The sequence below is a fragment of the Homo sapiens genome, chromosome 1, assembly GCF_000001405.40.
Source record: "Homo sapiens chromosome 1, GRCh38.p14 Primary Assembly".
Lineage (NCBI taxonomy): Eukaryota > Metazoa > Chordata > Mammalia > Primates > Hominidae > Homo > Homo sapiens.
In genome coordinates, this window is record NC_000001.11 from 215,182,559 (window position 1) to 215,202,085 (window position 19,527).

General features: G+C 36.3%; 1 protein-coding gene across 7 annotated transcripts in view; it reads left to right on the top strand.

The window, feature by feature from the left end:
* The window catches only part of KCNK2 (potassium two pore domain channel subfamily K member 2), a 231,549-nt gene that overhangs the window by 177,017 nt on the left and 35,005 nt on the right, over positions 1–19,527 (top strand). For all 7 annotated transcript variants that reach the window (XM_017001249.2, NM_001017424.3, XM_011509524.3 and 4 more), the window contains one exon: positions 12,395–12,534. In XM_017001249.2, coding sequence (XP_016856738.1) covers positions 12,395–12,534 — 140 coding nt within the window. The remainder of the gene's footprint in view (positions 1–12,394; positions 12,535–19,527) is intronic.

Consider the following 19,527-nt stretch of genomic DNA (forward strand, 5'->3'; position numbering starts at 1 on the left):
GAAACTGCAGCAGCAGCAGCATTCCCCACCCTACCCAGGCCTGTGACGGAGGAGAGCACAATTCCAGCACCTACTGCTGAGGCACTTTCCACAGTTTTGACTGTGGAAGCTCCTACCCCACTCGAGAGCAAGCACTCCAGTCTCTGGCCCACGACTAAAATCCTGTGCGGGCACACTACTGGGTCACCACATAATTGTTGACTTTATGTTTGTCCAGATTAAAAATAGCCTCCTGCTCTCTGTCCCAGGTCTGGGAAAATGGCTGCAGCTTTTCCCAGTGCCTTTCCCTCACTGCATTTCCAAGCTCTCCCCAAGTTAGTTCCAGGGCTTGGGAGAAACAAGCTTTCTCCCTTGGCCTGGGTTGCTTGGATCCCAGTGGAAGGTGAGTCACAGAGGGAGGCTATCTGCCTCTCTCATATCCTGAGGGTTCACTCACTTTTATCAGCCAGATGCTGTCATGGGGGCTGTTTGCCCATGTTCTCCTCCCCGGGTTCTGGGGTTTCCTACATGATTCCAGTGAATTCTCATTTTCCTTCTTGAATTAAAGCTTACGGGGTTGATCTTTATGCACTATCTTGCTATTTTCAAGTGACTGAAGCACACTAAAAGCCATTAATCATTTTTTCCATCTTGGGGAAAAAAATGAATCTATTATTATTATTTTTAGTGGCACAAGAATTCAGGTTTAACTTATCTTTGCCCTTTCTACTTAGGCTCTTTTCTGCCTTAGTTTTAAAAACAGCTGCAAACTTCAGAAGAAGTTCTTGGCTACGTAAAATATTTTTTTCTCTAAGATATTTACCCACTTAATTTTCAAACTTAGGACAGCATTTTTTAACTTAACCTAAAATAGGTCATGTAGACCTAAAGTGTCTACGTTTTTCTACTCAAATTTTAAAAACTTTTCCTCTTCTATGATATATGTGTTATTTCAACTGCCATTTGCTTTATTGTTGTATCTGTAAGGTCCTATGTGCCTATTAGTTCAGTTCTCTTTTTCGCAATTATATTTCCCACTATTACTATTGTTCTAACTCCAATTTTAAGTAAAATACAATAATGGTAAAAGTAAGTGTGCTAATCTATTATGGATCATTTTTACCAGCTACCATAAATCTAAACCATTCTCTTAAAAAATTCAGTTTGAAGTATTAAAAACATGGTAAAAATTAGAGTAGGAATGTGTTATTAAAATTCTCATTAGTGTAATTTAGTTTTAAGAGAGTTTTATACTTTTTGGCTGTTTACTGTTCTTCCTTGACGCAAATTTCTTACTTAAATATTTTTAGAACAGAAAATACTTTCTGAAGTTCTGTAAGATCTCAGAGAGGGCTAATATTTATCTGTTTCTATTGATTTGTTAATTAAGGTTCAACCAGACAAAGCCACTAATATCCATGAAGATGGGGACACTTTTATGAACAAAGCTTTGCTTTTGGTCAAAAATACAGTGTACACCTCTCTGTGCACTGTAGATGTACAGAGGACATCTACAGTCTAGATGTACCAGTGTATATCCTCTCTGGATGAGGACCCTGGGAAAGGAGGGTGCATCACTCTGCTGAAGATCTTTTAGTTTCATAATTAGTAGAATGTGGGAAGGAGAATTTGAGACATTTCTAACTCCGTATAAGATAAGCTTGTGTCCTGAAACACTCATTTTTCTACCTCTTATTCAAAGTGTATAACTGGCTTAAGTAGAAATGGAAAGTTTGTTATTACAGGAGAAAGTGAGATATAGTGATGATAACAAAAATATACTTGTGATGCATTAATCTTAGGCTGTCTTATCACTTTTTAAATATAACTAACAAGGCCTTATGGCAACTGTGGAATATATAGGTATTATGTGACACGTTTTATATTTTCAGGCCTGATGTCGTATTGTATGTGTTTGTATTAGTCCATTCTCACGCTGCTAATAAAGACATACCTGAGACTGGGTAATTTATAAAGGAAAGAGGTTTAATAGACTCATAGTTCAACATGGTTGGGGAGGCCTCAGGAAACTTACAATCATAGCAAAAGGGGAAGCAAACATGTCCTTCTTCACATAGTGACAGGGAGAAGAAGAATGAGAACCTTATAAAACCACCAGATTTCATGAGAACTTACTCACTATCATGAGAATAGCATGGGGGAAACCACTCCTATGATTCAATTACCTCCCATAGGGTCCCTTTCATGACAGGTGGGGATTATGGGAACTACAATTCAAGATGAGATTTGGGTGGGAACACAGCCCAAACCATATCAGTGTTATTTTAAACAACTAACAGTGTCAATTCAGTATGTGGCCCTCATGATCTGAGACCAAAAAAAATACAAAAAGTATAAATAAAAATGAATGTGGGTGGAGTCCTAAACAATATTATATTTGTGACCATTGTATAAACCAGCTTAGGAAAAAAATATTTTTCTTTATCATTTTGTAGAAGATGAAAAATTCAGAGTCATGGCATAGTATCATAGGAGAATAGGAGAATGATAGCTGTGTGCTAATAAGAATAATCAAATAAACAACTTTATTTTTACTAGCTTTTATTATATTGTTACCCATCTTCAAATCTGTTAATTTTTTTTTATTTGACAGAGGAAATAATACAAACTTATAGAAATATACGTTAATTATAATTAGCATAAGAATTTGATGTGATTAATATGACAGATGCTGAGTAAGATAAATTGACACTATTTTTGCTGATTCATCACTATCTCCTTAACTTATATATTTTTGTGGCTGTGTTGGTCTTTGTGAAGCTATGATACCCTGTTTCTAGTACTGTAATCTTTACATTCCAGGTCCTTGTGTCCAGGGAGTGTTTTTGGAATGAGAATGTGGATTGGGGGGCAGATGTGGCAACGGCTGGGTAGCAGATGTGTGCCCTTTGCAAGAGTCTTTGGAAAAACAGAAATTGTGAATTTTTTTAAAGGATCTTGGAAAAGAATTGCCTCATATAGTCCAATAGAGTACACAAAATTAGACTTTGCTTCTGGGTACCTTATGACTGTAAAATTAGCTATTGAGTGAGTTTCCCATCTGGGAAATATCAATTATTTACTGTTTAGAACTTTCCCTCTTGCTATTAGATGTCCTAAAGACAGTGTTCTCGCTTAATTTTGCTATTTTGCCAGGGAAAAGCAAGAGGAATTGCTCTAACTTGAACCTCCTCATCTTTCTATTGGGCTATAAATCTCATAAGGAAACAAAGACGTCCCTTCCATAATGCACACTTAATATTTGATGTCAATCTGCAAAACCTGCAAAATCTGCTCTGAGGAGGATCAGGGTTCAGCTACATTGTTATATTGAACTTTTCTGAAGGCAACTTAAAGAATGTATTCTTCAAACTGTGGTGTTATTAAAGGAAAAGAAGTATATTTTGGAAAGTGATTTATAAATGTTTAGGATGCAGATTGTAATAGATCTGTATTTCTTAACATCAGTATAATTATTAGAAGCATCTTAAGAACAAGTGATGATGGGGTGGTTTAGACCAGAACTCTGAAATAGTGCTTGTCCCCAGGGAATGAGCAAGAAAAGTAGATTTTCTATGATAAGAGAACATGACGATTAGGCTGGGTATGGTGGCAAAATGGCAGCACTTGAGAGGCCAAGGCAGGAAGATCACTTGTGGCCAGAAGTTCAAGACCAGCCTGGGCAACATAGTGAGACTCTTGTCTCTACAAACATTTTTAAAAATTAGCTGTACATGGTGGCATGCAGCTGTAGTCCTAGCTATTTGGGAGGCTGAGGTGGGAGGAGGTCTTGCTGCGGTGGGCTATGAAGGTGCCACTGCACTCCATCCTGGGCAACAGGGCGAGGCCCCATCTTGAAAAAAAAGAAAATATGAAAACTCCTATTTCTATGTATTTCTAAATCTCATTATTTCTTCACTTTTTATTTTTATATATCGTAATACTTATGATATAGTAGAGCATAATACATTTCTAATTCATAAGTAATGTGCAATACTTTGCCATTTATCACTGTGAGTGATGAATCAAAAGCATTTAGAGATCACCGGTGCAGATAAATAGGCAGTGCTCAGGTGTCTCTGTGTATGTGACTGAATATAGGAATTCAGCATTTAGTACTTTCTCTACAGGAAGAGATCTCCCAGAAAATTTTAACTTCATATTTATTTATGCAGAGAACATGTTTTAGTGACTGGTTACCTTAGTGATTGGTATCTGCTCCTTCCCGATGGCACTTTCTGTTCTCTCTCAGTGCTCAGTGTTCTGGGGCTAAAAAGCACTTGGGAGGCCACAGAATCTGTAGACACTTTTATTTGACATATGAGTAAGCAGACCCCTGTTGCTAAGAGTGGCAAGTGCAGAGTAATTCTTCCTAAAGGGTGAGAAGAGAGAAAGGAAATTATTTTGCAAAGTGTTATTTACTTAATTTTATTTTATCTTTTTATTTTTTGAGACAGAGTCTCACTCTGTAGCCTAGGCTGGAGTGCAGTGGTGTGATCGTGGCTCACTGCAGCCTCGACATTCTGGGCTCAAGTAATCCTCTTGCCTCAGCCTCCCAAGTTGCTGGGACCACAGGCACATGCCACCATACCCAGCTAATTTTCTGTATTTTTTGTAGAGATGAGATCTCCTTCGTTGCCCATGCTGGTCTTGAACTCCTGGGCTCAAGCGAACTTTCTGCCTTGGCTGCCCAAATTGCTGGGATTTTAAAAGCATCAATAATGATGTATAATCAAATTTGTACAGATAAGTTAAAGTTAATGGCAAAATTGTATGTGAGAATTAGTGTTGATTCTCTACGTTCTGTTTCCTAACTTTTGTCATTTTATTTTTTATTTGACTGGAAGTCTCAGGTGATAAGTTAAGTCATGCTTGCCTTCCTGAGAGCTAAATCAACTTTTCTCTTTCTTTATTAAAATCTAAGAAGTCTTATTAATTATACGGTAATGTATGAACACTTGCTTTTTTACAACTTGTCTTCTTTTACAAAGGTCCAAGACTTAAAAAAAAAACACATAAAGTGTTAGTGATTCTTCTTCAAAATTAGAGAAAAGTGAAATAATTACCCAACCTAACACAATTTAAAATTTCTTTTCAAGGCTGGTAGCTCCTTTAATATAAACCCTTAGGGTCTATACCTTAAAGGGGTCATACAAGCCAGTGAATTCATTTCCACAGCTTGTTTAGAAGCTGCCCAGTGAAGTCCTTAACACTCCTTTTCAGAATTACAGGAATTCGAGGTTGCAGTGAACTATGATTGCACCACAGCTCTCTAGCCTGGGTGACAGAGCAAGACCCTGTCTCAAAAATTTAAAAAAAAAAAAAAAAAAGAGGAAAGAAAGAAAAATAGTACTCCTTTTCATAAACCTGAGGTTAATATTTTGTAAAGGGTAATGTGAAAGAGTGAAAAAACCAGAGAAGAATTTATAGTTTCACAAAGCAGTGTCCTCACATTACCTAGTTTTCTAATAAAATCCAAAAGTTCTAGGCAAAAATCCAGATGTTCTAAGAAATCCTCATGGTTAATATTATGAAAACACATATTCCATCTGAGCATGAATTTATTTAACCATCCAAATACATCATCATGGAATTCTGATCAGTGAAATTGAGTATATTTGGTTAAATAATGAAATTTTCTTCATCACACATGTAGTTTTGAATGCTTACCAGGTCAGTCAGGCTTCCTGCTTAGTACCCTGTGCTCCCTCCTATAGAGGTACAATACAATTTGGGACTTTCCCAGGTAAAATTTTTCCTCTTCTGGCATATTTACCTTTACTACATTTTTATAGTTTTTCACAGTGTTATAATCATTTGCCATCACATTTTTTACTTGGGAAGCACACATTTGTATGTCTCATATTAAGGATTCAGTCTTCTTGGAATTACATTTTCAAAGTCATTATTGGAAATGTAATTTTTAGTAAGCAAACTATTTGCTTTCCTGTATAACTGAAATTATGACTCATTCAGTGGAGTGCTCAGAGCTTGCTCAATTTAAGAGAATTTTATTATGAAAACATAAATCTCTTTAAAAAACCATGGCATGTTTCTCCCCTAACCCCCAAGCAGTTAGTTCAAGTAGAGACCCTCTAGAAAACAGCACCTTGTGTTGACTAAGAGTTTTGCAACCATGTCAAAGGCCAGGTATTAAAATTGCTATTGTTGAGCTGATAACTGAGTAGAAATTTGCCAGGAATTTAACAGATAACAAGGAAAGTACCTGATAAAGAGTGAGATCTGTTGAAGAGCAGTCATTACCACCATCACAATGGCTCAGAAAAATTGCTTTGTTTGGAAAAGGAGGGTTTGTGTGACTGCTAGGGAGATGTTTTATATTCATTGGTCATTTGTTTGGTTAGGTGTTTAATGGACACATATTGTATATTAGATACTGTGCTTAGCACTTAGTGAGAATAATTGCTCTAGTTCCTGTTCCTGTAAGACAGAATGTATGAAATCCAGGAGCAACAACTAAGTAGGGAATCTTTTTCTCTTCCTGCTATTTGCTCTGTTTTATAATACAGGAAAATTCTGTAGAGGGTTTAGTCACTCCCTGATTTAACTTGTGACTCTCGGAGAACTCACAACAGAAATAATGGCCATCTGCATGATTTAATAAGTGGGATTTGACCCAAATGGTTCAGAAGTCTTAGGGACTGTGGACAAACCAAAAAGTTACTTAACTTTTAGGGTTCTGAATGGATATATAGAAGTATTGTAAAAACATGTGGAGAAAAAATTGAGGAGAAAAGCATTCAGTGATTGATAATTACGGCTTTGTGAGGCAGGAAGTAAATTGTACTACATTCCGTGAAAAATATTCCAAATTGTTCTAGATTGAGATTTAAAGACAATTTCTAAGAATAACAATTGGGTACATCTATATACTGTTCCATCTTTATAAAGGATGAGTGAGTGACATCATGTGTTGATTTTTCTTTCTTTATGATCATGAGACTGCTGTTCTCATGGCAGTTTTCCCAATTTAAGAACAAGTACCTACAGGGACACGGACAACTTCTTGAATGCTAAAATTTAAAATCCCCAAATATAAGTTCAAATGACACCTTTTTTGGCATTCTGGTTTTCCGACTCAATGGCATATGAAAAGTTTAGTTTAGTAGGTAAGCTGTTGTTTAATACTGAAGTCATATTTCCATTTGTTATAAAGAAAATAGAATTTATAACATCATTAAAAGGGGTTCTCAGTCCTTGAAGCAGTGAGAAACACCTTATTCAGTAAAATTACTTAATAACACAATAAGATATACTAAAACAGAAATTAAGATTTTCCCTCCTTCATATTAAGACAGGATAGCTTTAATTAATAAAAGTAAAGTCAAGTAAACCCCCCAAAATTAAAATCCATGTTTGATATTTAAGCTAAAATACTTATAGGCTGATTTAAAGGAATGATCCCTACTTTCTTTAAAATGGAGTTATATATCTATGTTTATATTCTGTAACAGATATGCCATTTTAGAAAATCAGAAGAGATGTATGGAACTGATAACCTTAGTCCGGAGTGGCTAGGTTATCCTTTAAAACCAGGATATATCTTTTTTCTTCCTTCCTAAATATTTTGTTATTCAGAAAAAAATTCACAGAAAAAGAAAATTATATTTAACTAAGAGGGGATGTTGTATGCCCAAGTTCTTTAGCATCGAAGAGGGCCGATGGCTGGGAACGCTGGAGAGAGGACAGAGCAAGGTAAGGAGGCTCTTGGTGGAATGATGCTTGTCCTCAGACCCACGTGGTTTCTAGGTGAGAACCTTGAGGAGAAGAGGCATGCCTTGTGCAATTTGGTATTTCCTGCCTTAGCTAAGTACCTCCCAGGCAGTATGAGCAAAATAGGTTGGTGGATAAATGATAAGAAGGACAGTAGGTGACATCATAGGTGACGTGGACCACTGGGTTCAATGAAGGAGCCTGTGTTTTGGAGCTATTCAGACACCTGTGTTAAACTCTAGCTCTGCTACCCCTTTCTTGGGTGGCCTGACATATGTTATTTTCTCTACTGAGATTGTGATATCTCCATTTTAAAGTGGGATACTTACTGTTGGGATTTCAAGGAGCCCATACAAACTGGTCTTTCATTCCTGAGTTCCAAAGAGACCATGAGAGTGATGGCAATTGGATCATCAGCTTTATTGCTGCAAAAGGAAGCTGGCAATGTGACTTAGTTCTATGGCCGCATGGTCTTAACTAACAGCCCTGCCCTAAGTCAATGGAAGTGTGAAGCGTGAGAATGCAACTCCCCTCAACACCTACCCACAGGGTGTTAGGATGGAATGATTTCGTTCATGGAGGTAATCAGTAAGTCTTCCTTCTCATCCCACTCTTCCAATCTGATTTTGAATATTCTGTAAATCAGTGGAAATGAGCATATTAACTGGGTTAGGCAGGGTTTACAGAGCCAATTTTTCTTTCTTTCTTTTTTTTTTTTTAAGTCTTCTAGGGGCCAGGCATGGTGGCTCATGCCTGTAATCCTAGTACTTTGGGAGGCCAAGGCATGCAGATCACTTGAGGTTAGGAGTTCAAGACCAGCCTTGCCAGCGTGGTGAAACCCTGTCTCTACTAAAAATACAAAAATTCGTCAGGCGTGGTGGCAGGTGCCTGTATTCCCAGCTTCTCGGGAAGCTGAGGCAGGAGAATCGCTTGAATACGGGAGGTGGAAGTTGCAGTGAGCCGAAATGCACCACTGCACTCTTGCCTGGGTGACAGAGTGAGGCTGCATCTCAAAAAAAAAAAAAAATGCCTTTTAAAAGGTGTCTGCCACGGCCTCATGGGTTGTTCTGTTGCCTAATCAATGATTCTTTGGAGCCAGCTAGAATAGGGCTTTCTTAATGCTGGGTAGAGGGACTGTTTCCAGCAAATGTTTAGGAAACCTGCTTTGTGGAGATAATGGTTTCCTAGCAATAATACCAGCCTGAACTTTCCTGAGCTATATTTTTTGTAGTTTAATCTACTAGATTGGATTAGGCTCTGACTGAGTTCCTTACACAAGCAATAAGGGCAAGAGATCCGGAGAGAGATTACACCATCTAAAAGAAGCTGTCACATGTCATATAAGAATGTCAGGATGAGTAGACTTATTTTAACTACTTGGAAAAGTTTATAAGATTCCCAAAACCTTTATACCTCCACACTTTTTTGTTATTTTTATTACCATCTGTTTACTGTCCTATTATGATTAGCCAGAAAGCTCTTAAAATGGAAAGGATTTATGTGCATGATTTTAGTGGTAGTAAAGAAAAAAGAGCAGTGGAGTGAATATTTCTGCCAGGTCGGTGGGGAACCTAGGAGGGGAGAGTGGGCTGTAGCATCTTGTAGGCTGCATCTCAGAAGTCTGTGGAAAGAGAAAAAACAGAGCGTGGGAGACAGGGGCAGTGGCCCTGTCAATAACAAGAAGTCAATAATAGAAATTACACTCGATTCTTAGTAAGCCAGAGACAAATAGGTAGGTTTCCTCAACATAGCTAGACTGAAATTAATGCTTGTAAAAGTCAAGAAGTTTTTTAAAAGGTATTTCCTAATTTATTCCTAATTTAAAAATAAAACATTTTTTCTTAGCAAGTTATCCTGACATCACAGATATGTTAATTTGGATAAGATTCTTAGATGAAGTGAATTGATTAATGTGAAAATTAATTCATGAATCTTAGATATCAGCAAGTGAGTAGGATTTGGGAGTTGTTTGACAATATTTCTTATATATAGTATTCGTTTTTCCTAGATCATCTGACTGCCAGTATTTCATCTTGAGAGTGGCAATTTAAAAAGGAAAAGCATTTTTTTCCCCTGGGCTTAGACTCCACTAAAACTTGTGGGTTGAACATTTTACCCAAATATAGACCTTTTAGTGATTAAGCTAATTTACTCTTTTCAAACTGTGACATCCTGTTTATAAGAAAGAAGACTTATAAAAAGTAATCTGAGCATGAACTAACTCTTCTAAAGTCAACATCTTGGTGAACTTATGTGTTAAATGAGTCACAAATATTTGGATGAAGATTTTTTCTGGTTTTGAAAGGGAAAGTACTTGGGAAAAAATGTCATTTTGGTTTCATTGAAATGGAAACATTTGAAAAAATGAAATTCACTGGTGAGACTATCATGTAACAGGTTTACACACATATTTCTTAAGTCAGTTCTGTGAAGTTTTAGAGCCGTATCCTCCATGGGCCAACTCTTAACCATCACGAGATGCATTTATAATTATTCCCAGAAATAAGCTTTTAATGTTGCAAAAAGTAAAAATTTTATAATATTTGAAAGTAATATTATTCACTTTGTAAAATGTGTTCTAAAATTATTTTTGTCCCAAAAGAAAGCTGAACGATGCCTATTCAAATTATTTACCTGACAGAAAAATGCTTTTTATTGACCCTTTATTATTTGAAAATGTCATTATGAGCAACTTAAAATTTAATTTCTCTACAATAATGTTATACTCAGTATTTTATACTTGATTTAATATATACTTGCAATGCATACTTGATTTTTAATATATACCTGCAATTTATTAGCAAAATTAAATTTCTCTACAATAATGTTATACTCAGTATTTTATACTTGATTTTAATATATACTTGCAATTTATACTTGATTTTTAATATATACCTGCAACTTATTAGCAAAATTTAATTTCTCTACAATAATGTTATACTCAGTATTTTATACTTGATCTTTGATATACTTGCAATTTACTGGCTGAATTTTTGTGAATTGGGCAAATCCATGCTCTGTTTAAGCACCTCCAGTCTCTATGCTGTTGGTCCTAAAATCCTTATCTTCTGCCCTGTTCTATTAAGTGTTAGATTTGCATGTAAGGATCTTGTTGGTTATTACCTCAAGCACTTCGAACCTGTCAGTTCTCAGTTTTAATTACTTTTTTTTTTTTTAAAGTCACTCTTTCTTCCCCTATTCAGTTACAATATCTTTGGTCTTTGGTCACCAGAGAGCTCTTCCTCTCACTTATCCCACCAAGTAATTGGCCATGAATCCTTGATGATTCGGCCTGTAAAATGACTCTTCTTGCCATCTCTGCCCTATCTCAGACACAATAATTTCTTAGCTAATTCAGAACAAAAGCTTCTCATGGGGCTTCCCTGTCAATTTGTTCTTCTCTGCCACTAGATCTTTCTGTGGAGATAGTCAAACACGAATACACAGGACTTATCTCCCGAGAGACTTTTACCTATTCTCCATGGAGTTAAGATCAAATCTTTACAATCTGATACAGCCTACTTTTTCTAGATTTCTCTCTTCTACTTATCTGCTCTTTGGCCCAATACATGTGGAGATTCATCCATGACTAAAAGTCATTTGACTATACTATATATTTTCCACACTGTGCTATTCCATGTTTTGATCCTCATTACCTAAGACTCACTTTTCCCCTTCTTACTTTCCTTCTTCCAGAAGTAAAAATCACTTCTTCTATGTCCTCTCATAGTACTTTTTTATTCTCTTTGCCATCATGCAATATACCCCATTGAGGTTAACTGTCTATATGAGGATTTCTTGGGCTAAATTATGAATTTTTCAAGGGAGGTATTTGATTTCTTACTTGTGAAAATAAAAATAGTTTCACTGTTGGGACTTAATAAATGCCCCCATATTAATGGGGTACTAAACAAAGGGTGTGTTGAAATGAACCCAGATTCTTATAGGTACAGTTATTGTTCCAAGTGGATGGAGAAGTACTTCAAGGATTAGAGTAAAAAAAAACAAGAGCCTTGCCAATATTTTTTTTCTTGAGAGCTACGGTTTTATTTTATGACAGTCATGGGAATTTCTCAGAAAAGTCAGAGAATAATGAATGGTAGTATTACCTGCAAATTTCTATTTGTTTTCATTCGAACCATCAAGTCATTGTCTCTGGCATTTGTTAGTGATTCATTGTATTGATGACTTTAAAATAAGAACCATCACTAGAGTTGTTCACTTGCTGTTCAGTTTGGCATTAAGTTGATTAGCTAGCATGTATTTATTGGCAATGAGGTAAATATGCTAAGTTAAATGCACACCAATAAAAGTGTAATCCCTATCTTCTATTTGTTAAAATAGAGGTGGAAAAAGAAACTTAGTACACATAGAATAATTAAGTACTAGACTGAGATGGATTATATAAATGTAAATGAAACATGGAGCAAGGAAAAATCATGATGATCTGAAGAAGCAATGAAAGTTTTCATTAAGAAAAACAACTTGTTCTTGAAAAATAGGTAAGAATTACGAGTGAAAAGGAGAAATTCAAAATGAAGAAAATAATGTAACTCCATTGATAAGAATACTAGATTTCTATGTTTTGCAAACCAAAATTTAGTTAGTAATTTTAGCAATACCTAGATTGTTTACTTTTAAGACTATGAAGTTATTTTGTTTTACTTTGTTTTGTCTCCAGGTGGATCCGATATTGAATATCTGGACTTCTATAAGCCTGTCGTGTGGTTCTGGATCCTTGTAGGGCTTGCTTACTTTGCTGCTGTCCTGAGCATGATTGGAGATTGGCTCCGAGTGATATCTAAAAAGACAAAAGAAGAGGTGAGAATTAAGAAGTGTGCAAAAAACTTCTATTTAGTTAATTCAATAAAGGTTATTTTAAATTATTTTTATGTTTACATTTAAAATATTTAAACATTTTAAAATGTTAATATTTTCTATTTGGCATGAATTTGCTGTATTAGGCTATGAGCAAATATATGAGTTGTAATTTATTCACTTAGAAAATGTTTCTGTGCCAATTGCTGTCTCAGAACTGAGGGTAATTTCTAATGAAAAAGGATGTAACTAGAAACATTTTCTTCATTATTTCTTTTTTTTTTTGTTTTCTTTCTTTTGTTCTCAAGAGCACAAAATAAATTTTATTCTGTAAATAAAAATATAATAGAAAATATTTGTATCAAGATATCAGTAGCATGAAATAGTGGATGTTTTAAATAATGTGGAAGGCTTTTTACCTTTAACTTATTTTATTTTTCTTATGTCTATATAAATTTGTACGTACACATGTATATATATTCCAAAGCTGTATGCATTATGGCCGTTTTCCCTGTATATAGATTTTAACAATTTTAAAAGGTGTCAATTTACTTATCTTATACAACTAAACATATAGAAGTGAACATTAGAATTTTGACCCATGAAATTTGGGAAAATTTGAAATTTAAATATTGATTTTGAAATTCTATTGTTTGGAAATTAAATTTTGATTTCATATTTACATATCCAGGATCACTATTAGTTTGAATGTGACAGGGTAATGTTTTATTATGAAATGTGTATTTCTTGCTTCTGGGTCTTAGTCAACTTTGCTAATTGTTTCAGAGAACAACAAATCTGTAAAACCTGTCCCTATAGTACCCATTGCCTTCGTTTAACTATCTATTCCTAGACCACAGATATCAGTGTCAGACTCTTTCATGGCTATAAGCATGAATTCTTTAAGTATACACCCAAAAGAAATAGAATAAGATAGAAAATGATGAAATTAACTTCCCTTTACAAATGTTTTCTTTGAAAATTATCAAGTCATATAATTTTTTTTTTTTTTGAGATGAAGTCTCGCTTTGTTATCCAGGCTGGAGTGCAGTGACATGATCTAAGCTCACTGCAATCTCTGCCTCCCAGGTTCAAGTGATTCTCCCACCTCAGCCTCCCGAGTATCTGGGACTACAGGCTCACACCACCATGCCCAGCTAAATTTTTTGTATGTTTAGTAGAGACGGAGTTTCATCTTGTTGGCCAGGCTGGTCTAGAACTCCTGACCTTCAAGTGATCTGCCCGCCTCTGCCTCCCAAAGTACCAGGACTACAGGCATGAGCCACCGTGCCAGGCCAAGTCATACAATTTTTTATTCATACCCAAGGTGCCTGTGTGAACTAGCAAGAATGTAAATTATCCATACTTTACTTCAAGGATACCATATTTCCTAATTGGGAATTTACTTATTCAGTCTGTATGCATTAGTCTATATCTTAGTTGCATCATCAAATTGAAATATTTTTATTATAAACAAGTCAGTAAGACAATATGCTTGACACTATAATTTAAACTGTATGAAAAGCCTTGCTTTGAATAGGACCGCAATGGATTTGCCTTAACCTTAGGCTCATTGTATGTGGTGTGCGTGTGTGAGTGTGGTGTGTGTGGGGGCGGTGGGAGATGGGAGAGAGAGAGAGAAGTATAATGGATGGTTATTCTTCATGTGTACTTCATGTGTATCTTGAGATGCTAAGGGAAAAAATGGAAATTGTAGCTAGGGAATGTTTTGGACAACATAGCTAAAAAGAGAACTACTCAAACATCAAGCAATAATCTGGCTTTCAAATGGATTTGAAAACACATGCACACAAGCATGTATTTCTTAAATAAAACAGACTTGAGCAGAACCTATTTCATACGGTCAGGTAGTTAGGAAAAGTATTGTTTTGCGATACACAAATACACAGATATAATATTATAAATAAACTATGTATTATATACATACACACTTAATATCTTAATATTTTTGTGGTCCACAATCCAAAAGTTTGAAAGCCACTAAGGCACAGATAGTACAGAGGGAAATTTTGTACCTTTATAAATTGATGAAATTGGTATAGAATATCTGCTTAAATGTTTAAAACTTGTATTACTAAAAAACAGTGCTTTTTGTGATAGGACTAGCTGGGTCAAAGAATTAGCATACTTTTCCAAAGTAATGAGTCTGCTCTAGCTGTTACAACAAAATAGGACGGACTGGGTGTTATAACATGGGACTTTTTTTCCTCACAATTCTGGAAGCTAGAAGTCCAAGAAGGTGCTAGCAGGGTTGGTTTCTGGTGAGGCCTCTCTGCTAGGCTTGCGGGTGGTGCCTTCCCACTGTGTCTTCATATGGCCTTTTCTCTGTGTGCATGCATGAGAGAGAGTGAGAGATCGTGTGAGCATGCACACTCTGGTATATTTTTCTCTTCTTAAAAGGACACCAGTCCTATCGGATTAGGGCCCCACTTTTTTGACCTCATTGAACCTTAATTACCTTCTTTAAAGCCGTGTCTCCAAATGCAGTCACACTGGGGCTTAGGGCTTCAACATATGACTTTTGGGGAGACACAAATCAGGCCATAACACCATCTTTTCAAATAAATACAAATTTCTACATAACTGATTTATTCAAAATGAAAACAAGACCGGGTGGGGTTGCTTACGCCTGTAATCCCAGCACTTTGGGAGGCCAAGGCAGGCAGATCACTTGAGCCTAGCAGTTTAAGATCAGTCTAGCCAACATGGTGAAACTTCATCTCTACTAAAAATACAAAAATTAGCTGGGCATGGGGGTGGATGCCTGTAGTCCCAGCTACAGTGAGAGTGAGGCAGGGGAATCCTTTGAACCTGGGAGGCGAAGGTTGCAGTGAGCAGAGATGGCGCTACTGTACTCCAGCCTGGGTAACAGAGCCAGACTTTGTCTCAAACAAACAAACAAACAAACAAGCAAACAAACAAAAAAAACAAGGTTGTGTCCCTACTTATGAGTGATCTTCATGACTCTCAACTGAAAGTATGAGGTGTAGCATTGTGTTTTCATGCTAGTTAAACATTGCAGGGTTTTTTGGTTTTGTTTTTTGTTTTTTCTTACCACACATCTTTTGGCATGTACCTAATATTCTGGGTAGCATGTACTTTCTGGTGATTGCATCTGTCGAAAGCTCCCATGAGTCAAGGCTATGACCAGAGCTTTAAGTGAACCCTCCAAAGTTTCAGCTGCTCTGGACAGGGGAGCCAGTTGAAATGGAGCTTTCAATTGGAGTAGATATGTGTATTTTCTGATTTATAATGTAATTTAGGGAACTGCAAAATGGGGTCATGAATTCAACAGAGAATGTGAAGAAAGACAGGGAAAGGCCCCTTATAATTTTCAAAATATTATCATGGCCAAAGTTTTTATAAACAAAATACTGTTAAAATTTCTAAAGCAATGGAAAACGATTATTAGACAATTTTAGTTTTGAAATAACTCACTAAAGGGTATAAATCAATAAAAGCCAACTAAATATATTCTAGTTGTCATCTCTGTGTAAATGAACAAATGCCAGGTGACTGCTCAATAGATATTCCTTACTTTCCATGCCCAAGTCATTCTGGGCGCTGTTAGTTTTAAAAACTCCCAAAGTGTTAAGAAATAACAAAGTTATTTCTAGTTTTCAGTTTTGATGAATAAAAACACTAAACATTTTTGATAACTGGGAATCTTCTTCACTAAAAGATTTAACTGGTACAAAATATAAAAAATACAAAATTAAATATAGCTTCAAATTTTCCAAGTGATAATACTTGGACACATGCTTTCCCTGAATGAAAAGATTTTGGCTAATAACCCCAGTCTTATATTATTTTTTCAAAAACAAATCTGCTTAAACCATACAGGTTTAAGTGTGAAAATATAGATCTAGTCATATATGCCCTTATTCCATTTCTGTTTTTTATGTTAAAACATATTCTGTTTCCAGCCAGGCGCTGTGGCTCATGCCTGTACTTTGGGAGGCTGAGGCGGGAGGATCACCAGAGGTCAGGAGTTTGATACCAGCCTGGCAAATATGGTGAAACCCTGTCTCTACTAAAAATACAAAAATTAGCTGGGTATGGGGGTGGGTGCCTGTAGTCCCAGCTACTCAGGAGGCTGAGGCAGGAGAATTGCTTGGACCCGGGGAGGCAGAGGTTCCAGTGAGCCGAGATCATGCCACTGCACTCCAGCCTGGGTGACAGAGCAAGACTCCATCTCCAAAAAAATAAAAATAAAATAAAAAATAAAATAAATTCTGTTTCCAATGAAGAATAGTTTTAATGAAATTATGTTTTGTTTTCCATCAACATGCTGAAATAAAACATGGTATAGCTAATCCATCTGAAATATTTGAAGAGGAAATGATTTGTTGAAACATACTATATATTCAAAAGTGCCACATATAATTATAGTTGATCTGCATCAAGGAAAACAATAATGAGCTTGGTAATTTTCCAGTTTTCCATGGAAACATATGCATTTCTGTAAAAGCATTTCTTTGTCTATTTTTTAAGCTCCAGTGGAGGGTAGGCACATGTTTAACAGAAAGGATTGGTAAGCTAACTTATCTTTTCTATGAAACTATGTACTCTCTTCTGAGGAAATAATGTTTCCATTTACAAAATAAAACTTATTTAGATATTCTGGATAATACAATAATACTGCTACCTGAGGGAGGCATAATAGAAATAAGATGTGACCACAAGACTCAGAAGGTAAAATCTGTGCTTGCTTAGGAGGAAAGCAGGGAGTAGAGCATCGTTACTACACACAGGCATACCTCAGGTTCCTACTGTTTACATTTCTTGAGCTTGAAAGGGCCTGTGATTTCTACATATTTCTTCTATCGATGCCCAAGCACCGGTGTTTGGGTGTTCCTGTGCACATATGAGATAAACACCACTGCGGCCCACACCATAGCATGCTAGTGTTGTCAGGCTGGGTGGCACCACAGCTGGCCACAGTGAATTGATAGGCAAGCAATGCTTCTCTACCAATATCATTTCCTTAGTCTCCGGAGATGTTTATGCAAATAGAGGCTCTCACTTTAGTAAGTTGGCATTGTATTGTATGAAAACTACACCCTTTGACTGGACAACGCTAGTGCCAAGAAGCCTTGAAAGACTGTCCCTGAATTTTTATTTCACCCCAATTTTGTGAAGGGGCCTGAGAATGTGAAAGAACATAGCTTTGTTTTGTTTTGCTAATTACCTGGTGGCAGCATTTGGTCTCCTCTAAATTTCACTCTGGGTGGCAATGACTGTTTCAGGAAAAGAGCTGGGACTTGGAGGCTCTTTATCTTTGCCAGAGATGAGCAATTAAGAAATAGTTGCAGCCTGGGCCCTGGAAAGTTTGCAGTAGATCACTTTATCATTATTTCTTATGGGAGAAGTGCTTTCAATCTGAAAGATTTTATATGCCATTTGAATAGCTTAGACTTTATTCAGAAAACTTTAGGGAGCCATTGAAGGATTTTAAGTAAGTGGAATGAATGATGTTAGCAACAGTGAGGAAGATGAATTAGTTGCAAACAAAGCTGGATTCAGGAAAATCAGTTGGGAGAGTTATTGCAAGTATCCAGATACTATCAAACGAAGGGTCTAGGGTAGCAGTGGGATAGAGATGAAAGTTCAGATTTCAAACATATTTGGGGGATAAAAGGAACAGAATTTGGTAACCCATTAATTGTGCACAATAAAGAGAAAAGGAGAATGACATCCATAATTCTAACTTTGGGTGGGATTACAGAATGCTGGAAAATGAGAGATTTTGCGTAAATTGGAGCAATGAGATAGTTTTATTTTGGACATGTTGTGATTGCAGACGTAGCCGATATCCAGGTAGTTAAATTCTAGAAAATTGCATCTGCGTGCCTGGAATGTAGGAGAAATTAAAGCTGGGAAGATAGTTTGGGGCCATCACTACCTGAGAGCTGTGAATATAGACGAATTCACCTAATGAAGATTCGTAAAGTTAGTCAATAGTGGAGGTAAAAACAGAACCTGGAGTAACACCTTCACTTAAGGTGTGGGATGTGGAGACTATTTAGCAAATAATGTAGTTAAATAAATTGATTTGTGGTTGGGTCTGTTGGAAAGGCAAAGGCATCGAGGTTTTGAAGAGAGGAAGATGGTTACAGTGGTAGATCATATTGGCTAAAGAAAATGGTGAAGAAAAAGAATCCAAGAAAAGGCTAACATAATAACATAAAATCGATGAATAAAGTAACTAGAATTCCCCATTAGGTTGTGCTCCTGATGCACCACTCTTGTAGAAAGCAATGTAAATCTTGTTCCCTGGCATGGGTGCAATACAGTAGCTATATCTTAAGATAGTTCCGGCCACATAAAACACAATTTCAAAGGGCAACAGTCACAGTGTTTTTATGGAAATGGGAGCCCTTGGAGCATGACTAATAGAAATCCATATGAATGGTGCCCTGGGGAATTGAGCCATGGCATGGAGACCAGTTAGGAATTAGAATTATTTAATGTTGAGTTCCTAAATTATTAATTCATTCAAAAAGTGCTATTAAGTTCTTACTATGTGATGAGTGCTGTATTGGGTGCTGGGAGTAACTCTTCATCTGTGGTAGTTTGAAGTCCATCTCTTTATTGGGAGGATTGCGTAGGTGGTGTGTTCGCTTACTGATCTTTATAATGCTTGCTTTTACTTTTCTTCCTCCAATGCTAGAAAAAGAAGCTTTGACTAAGAAGGTACTTAGTCTTTGATTGGAGATCAGTTCTTAATGTAGCCTGCTTTTACTTTTTTCTTTTCTGTTTCTTCTTCCCACCCTCCATCACTCCCTTCCTTCTTTTCTTTGATCTTCAGACTATATATCAGACTTTGTAATTATTGCTTTGATTTCTATCATATTGTAGGGCAGGGGGGCAATACTGTTTGGTACAATTTTTCTGGCAGTGTTTCTTGTTGTTATTGTTCTCTTACTGAGATATTCAAGTAGTTATAAATGACTACTTGAAATTGGACTATGG